General features: G+C 50.9%; 1 long non-coding RNA gene across 1 annotated transcript, besides 2 other annotated features; it reads left to right on the top strand.

The window, feature by feature from the left end:
• Nucleotides 380–585: a silencer, noted in NCBI's record as "fragment chr9:138313278-138313483 (GRCh37/hg19 assembly coordinates)". NCBI's record gives its function as "represses an EF-1alpha promoter that drives an FKBP-Casp9 reporter gene in an ReSE screen in phorbol 12-myristate 13-acetate-treated (for megakaryocytic differentiation) K562 erythroleukemia cells {active_cell/tissue: K562(+PMA)}" and the evidence as "EXISTENCE:reporter gene assay evidence [ECO:0000049][PMID:32094911]".
• LOC124902305 (uncharacterized) lies at nucleotides 3,246–4,931 on the top strand. The gene is made up of 2 exons (XR_007061849.1): nucleotides 3,246–3,600; nucleotides 3,966–4,931. It is a non-coding gene; the product is annotated as an uncharacterized LOC124902305 (long non-coding RNA).
• Nucleotides 5,177–5,345: a silencer, noted in NCBI's record as "fragment chr9:138308518-138308686 (GRCh37/hg19 assembly coordinates)". NCBI's record gives its function as "represses an EF-1alpha promoter that drives an FKBP-Casp9 reporter gene in an ReSE screen in HepG2 liver carcinoma cells {active_cell/tissue: HepG2}" and the evidence as "EXISTENCE:reporter gene assay evidence [ECO:0000049][PMID:32094911]".

The following is a 6,033-nucleotide window of genomic DNA, read 5'->3' as shown; positions in this document are numbered from 1 at the left end:
AAGCAAGTTTATTAAGAAAGTAAAGGAATAGGCTGGGTGCAGTGGCTCACACCTGTAATCCCAGCACTTTGGGAGGCCGAGGCGGGCAGATCACCTGAGATCAGGAGTTTGAGACCAGCCTGGTCAACATGGAGAAACCCTGTCTCTACTAAAAATACAAAATTAGCCGGGCATGGTGGCACGTGCCTGTAATCCTAGCTACTCGGGAGGCTGAGGCAGGAGAATCACTTGAACCCAGGAGTCGGAGGGTGCAGTGGGATCACACCACTGTACTCCAGCCTGGGCGACAGAGCAAGACTCTGTCAAAAAAAAAAAAGGGAAAGTTAAAGGAATAAAAGAATGGCCACTCCATAGCAGAACAGCAGCATGGAATGCTGGTTGGCTATTTGATGGTATTTCTTGATTCTATGATAAACAAGAGGTGAGTTATTCATGAGTTTTCCAGGAAAGGGGTGGAGATTTCCCTGAACTGAGGGTTCCTGCCCTTATCAGACCATATAGGGTAACTTCCCGACGTTGCCATGGCATCTGTAAACTGTCATGGCCTGGGTGGGAGTGTCTGCTATCGTGCTAATGTATTATAGTTAGCATATAACGAGCAGTGAGGACCACCAGGGGGCACTTTCATCGCCATCTTGGTTTTGGTGGGTGTTGGTCGGCTTCTCTACTGCATCCTGTTGTATCAGCAGGGTCTTTGTGACCTGTATCTTGTGCCGATCTCCTATCTCATCCCGTGACTAAGAATGCCTAGCCTCCTGGGGCCGGGTGCGGTGGCTCACGCCTGTAATCCCAGCACTTTGGGAGGCCGAGGCAGGCGGATCACGAGGTCAGGAGATTGAGACCATCCTGGCTAACACTGTAAAACCCCGCCTCTACTAAAAATACACACACACACACACACACACACACACACACACACAAAATAGCCAGGCGTGGTGGCAGGTGCCTGTAGTCCCAGCTACTCAGGAGGCTGAGGCAGGAGAATGGCGTGAACCCAGGAGGCAGAGGTTGCAGTCAGCCGAGATTGCGCCACTGCACTCCAGCCTGGGCTGAGACTCCATCTCAGAAAAAAAAAAAAAAAGAAAGCCTAGCCTCCCGGGAGTGCAGCCCAGCAGGTCTCAGCCTTATTTTACCCAGCCCCTGTTCAAGATGGAGGAGTCACTCTGGTTCAAATGCCTCTGACGGTCCTACAGGGCTCAGACAGCCCCCAGGACAAATTACCCAGCACCAATGTCAGCAGTGCTGCCAGTGGGAGACCTTGCTTCAAATTAATCTTTCAGGACCAGGGAAATGGGAATCTGAGTTTTGGGAGGGGGAAAAAATAGGTTTTCTATGTTGTGTAAAAATATGTTTATTATCAAGGGAAGACCTCCCACCGAGACCCACTGAGATTAGTACAGCCTGTAATTCAGGCCTTTTCTGTGGTGATTGATTTAAGACAAGCAGAGAATTAATTGGTTTAAACGTTCTGACCTGAAAGTGAGTCTCAGTTGGTGGATGCATGTGTCTGGCACATAGAAGATGCTCAATAAACATTTGTGGAATAAATACAGGAGGGAATGCTGGCTTCGGGGAGAGAGTGGGGGGCTTAGCAGCAATGTCCAGCTGAGTTACAGCATCTTTTTCTTTTCCCAGCTAGAGACGGCTTGGCGCTTGAGGTTTTATGTTGTTTTCAGCCAGGGTGCCCCAGAAAGCCCGAGGATCAGCCTGGGGGGCCCAGCCAGAGCAAGCCGAGGATGAGGGGGTACCCAATAACTGCACCAAGAAATAAAGGAAACGAATCTCCCAAATTTCACATCCTCCCAAGACACTTCCCAGCTTCAAAGCAATAATTAAAAATGTTCTTTGGAGTAGCAATTTTTACATTTCATTGCAAATATTTTCCCTTATTCGACATCTTTTTAAGAAACCCACCTGCTGGACAGGTGCGGTGGCTCAGGCCTGTAATCCCAGCACTTTGGGAGGCCAAGGCGGGTGGATCACGAGGTCAAGAGATCGAGACCATCCTGGCCAACATGGTGAAACCCCGTCTCTACTAAAAATACAAAAAATTAGCCAGGCGTGGTGGCAGGCGCCTGTAGTCCCAGCTACTCGAGAGGCTGAGGCAGGAGAATCACTTGAACCTGGGAGGTGGAGGTTGCAGTGAGCAGAGACTGTGCCACTGCACTCCAGCCTGGGTGACAGAGAGAGACTCTGTCTCGAAAAAAAAAAACAAAAAAAAAACAAAACAAAACCCACCTGCCTTCCTCACAGAATGTGTCTTAGAAGGTGACGGAGGAGTTGTCAGCCCATCTGCCTGGGTTGTCAAACTCCTTGATGCCCAGTAGGGAGCCGGGGCTGAGGTGGGGAGAGGAGAGAGGAAGGCAGCCGGGCTGGAAGTGTGGAAGGTCACAAGCCAGGTGTGTGTGGGGTGTGCATGCATGTGTATGTGCATGCATGTTGTGCATGCATGGGCGTGTGCACGTGTGCTCACTGGTGTGTGTCTCTGTGCACCAGGGAGGTTTCCTTTGGAAGCATGTTCTTGCCCTGGACAGCCCCTCCTTGCCTGAATTAGATTTGAGTTGTGCTGCCTGCTGGGGAAGGGAGGGATGGAGAGCGTGGCTCCCCAGGCTGGGTCTTGGTCTTGCTGTGCAGTGGAGGGTGGTGAGGGCTGGGGGGTTCTGTAACCTGCTCCCCAACACCTTGGCTTGGAGTGACCCCAAGGGCACCAGAGTCTCCAGGAGGGTGTGATGAGCTCAGAAGGAGGGAGAGGGCAGTGGTGGGTGGTCCTTGCTGTGTTTTCAGCCCATCCCCCACAGGGGTGGTGTGTGACCCCTCCCGGGATTGGCAGGCTAGGACCAGGCCCCTCACGGGGACAGCTCTGAGGGCTTGCTCATCTTAGGCAGGAAGGAATGGAAGGTGTGGTGCCCCTGGGTGTCTGATGATCTCACCTTGCCAGCAATCTGATGCCCGGTCTGGGCAATGGATTTTCTTTCTTTCTTTTTCTTTTCTTTCCCTTTTTTTTTTTTTTTTGAGATGGAGTTTCACTCCTGTCACCCAGGCTGGAGTGCAATGGCCTGATCTCAGCTCACTGCAACCTCTGTCTCCTGGGTTCAAGCAATTCTCCTGCCCCAGCCTCCCGAGTAGCTGGGATTACAGGCTCGTGCCACCACATCCAGCCAATTTTTTAATTTTTAGTAGAGACGGGGTTTCACCGTGTTGGCCAGGCTGGTCTCAAACTCCTGACCTCCAGTGATTCACCCACATCGGCCTCCCAAAGTGCTGGGATTACAGGCGTGAGCCTCTACATCCGGCCAGCAATGGATTTTTTATCCTACCTCCCATATTGTTATTTTCCAGCTGACATTTGGAAACTAAAAGTCTCCCTGTGGTCCTTGCAGAATATTCCATGCATTTTTGTGCTCTGGATCAAAGGAAGGTCGCTTCATACACAGGGAAACGCAATGAGAGACGAGCCAGGACAGGTGGCATCTTGACCTCATGTTTAGAGGCCTGGCCACCGTGGAAATTTCCAGAAACAAACACCTTGGGGACCCTGGATCCACTGGCGGCCATTTCTCTTGAGAGAGGCTGGCGGTGCAGGTCAAGGAAGGAGGGAACGTGAGTGTCTTGCTTGCTGGGGTGTTTGAGTCACGGTGAGCCCTCTAAGAAATAGGGCTGAATTAGGCGGGAGGCAGGAGCAGCCTTGGGGGCCCCCCCTGAACAGCAGGGCCTGACCTCATTCCCAGAAGCAAGATCTCAGCCAAGGCTCATGGTCTGGCTGGGGCGGGTGCTGCCATGGAGAGCTGTTGGGTTCTGATGGGTCCAGGGCCACCAAGGCCTTCACCTGCCTCAGCTCCTCCCCTCAGCCCCGAAGCAGGACAGCGCCAGGCAGCCCTTCAAGTCCAAGCCAAGAGCTTATTTCTTTCCTTTGCTTTCCTCACTACCCCCCACCCACCAACACACTCAATCACCTGAAACTCCAGGCTTAGGCAGCTGCTCTTCAGAAATCTGAGACCCACCTCCCTTCCATTCCATTCTGGAGAGAGCAGGAGACACCTCAGAGAGGCTCAAACCACAGCCCAGGAGGAAGCCTTTCCAACAGCGTCCTTCCCAACACGGCTGGTCTGGGTGGCCCCTGAGAGGGTCTGCGGTGAACTGTGTGCATCTGTGTGTCCTCTAGCCCCGCAGGGGTTATGCATTCGAATCATCGACATTCAGTTTGCAGTTCTTCCTGGAGGCACATGCCGAGATCCCATTGCTGGGCTTGGTCTGAGACCAGCTTTGGCCAATGTCAAGGGGATGCCAGGACAAAAGCCCATCTGAGCAGAGGCTACCAGAGGCCAGTGTTAAAGAAAAAAGACTTCATGACACTTGTTTAAGCTTGGTAAGGAAGACTTTGCCACCAGCATGTCTCCAGTAGGGACTGGAATGGTCCAGGAATTCCTGCTGCTCCAGGAATGAGCAAACAAGTGGCTGATCTGCAGCCCACCTGAGCCCACCTGAGATGCCAGCACTGGGGCACGTTCTGGGCGTGTTTGTTACTGCAACAAAGCTGATTAATGCAGCCTCTGCTGTTGATTAACTTGGTCATGCAGGGAGAGAAACTGAGTGCTCCCAGCATATTGATTATAAGATGGGTGCTTTTGGAGTAGAAAGGGGCTTTGGAAAAACACTGAATTTAAGTAGAGTCCCTGCTGCATGGAAGACGGTCACCTGGCTTGCCCTTCCTGAGCACCTAAAAGCTCATCTTTGTGCTGGTGAACATAAAAATGACAAAAGCGCTGAAGTTGTCAACTAATTTTCAAAACAAAACCTCTAACTATAGTTCAGTGATACAGTGAGATGCGTTGGATTTGATGTTGTTTAAGCACGCTGTGGCCTGCCAGTGGGGGAATTTTCAGGGAATTCTTACCATTGCAGCTCACGAGGAAATAAAATGATGACCACAAGCTTCACTATGTAAAGATAGAGTGCTTCCTGTATGTGTGTATGCATGTGTGTACACGTATGACACACGCTGAAGAGAGGAAGAGGTTCCATGGGGGTGTTGTTGACCTGAGGGGCTGTTAGCCTGGTGGCCTGCAGCCACATCCTCCCTCCTGCTGGCCAAATGGACGAGGTTCATTTGCAGGAGAAAATGAGGCCAACGGAGAGAGAGCCAAGAAACTGAGAGAGAGTGTCTTGGTCTGTTTATGCTGCTAACAAAATCCCTTAGACTGGGTAATTTATAAACAGCACAAATACATTGCTTACAATTCTGGAGGTTGGAAGTTCAAGATCACAGCACCAGCAGGTCTGGCGACTGATGAGAATGCTCTCTGCTTCCAAGATGGTGTCTGGTTGCTACGTTCTGGCCTCACTTAGTGGAAGGGGCGGGAGGGCAAAAGTGGCCTAGCTAGTTTCCTCCAGCCCTTTTATAAGGGCACTAATCCCATCCGTGAGGGAGGCCCTCATGACTCAGTCACCTGCCCAAGGCCCCATCTCTTAATCCATTACATTTCAGTATATGAATTCTGGAGCGATATGTTTATTCAAATGATAGCAGAGAGAGAGAGAGAGGAAGAGAGAGAGAAGGAAAGTGGCAGAAACATCTGATAAACCCACAATTGCAGCTCATGAGGAAATAAAATGACCACAAGTTTCACCATATAGCAATAGAATGCTTCCCGTGTATGTATGTGTGTGTGCACATATGTGTGTGCCTGTGCATGCATGTGTGCGTGCATGTGTCTCTGGAGCCAGCCCGAGGTACCACCCTGCCGGTAGCTTCCTTTCTGCTGGTAGCTAGCGTGGGTCCCATCTCTGCCCCTTACCACTGAAAGAGTTCTGAGCAATACGAGAGCTTGCAAACTGGCTCCGTGCTTTCTGATAATACGGCTGGCTTTCAGCAAGTCTTTACACGGCCAAGCTCACAGGTCATTAAAGTAAACTTGCACTCAGTAGTTTGCAAAATATGAGTTTTTAGGCAGAAAACAGCATCCATGTCAGGCTGTTCAAATTGTAAGCTTTTGGACAGCCATCAGTCAAATAAAGTCAAATATTGGCTTCTGT

The sequence above is a fragment of the Homo sapiens genome, chromosome 9 (assembly GCF_000001405.40).
Source record: "Homo sapiens chromosome 9, GRCh38.p14 Primary Assembly".
Classification (NCBI taxonomy): Eukaryota; Metazoa; Chordata; class Mammalia; order Primates; family Hominidae; genus Homo; species Homo sapiens.
This window is presented reverse-complemented; position numbering and strand designations above follow the sequence as displayed.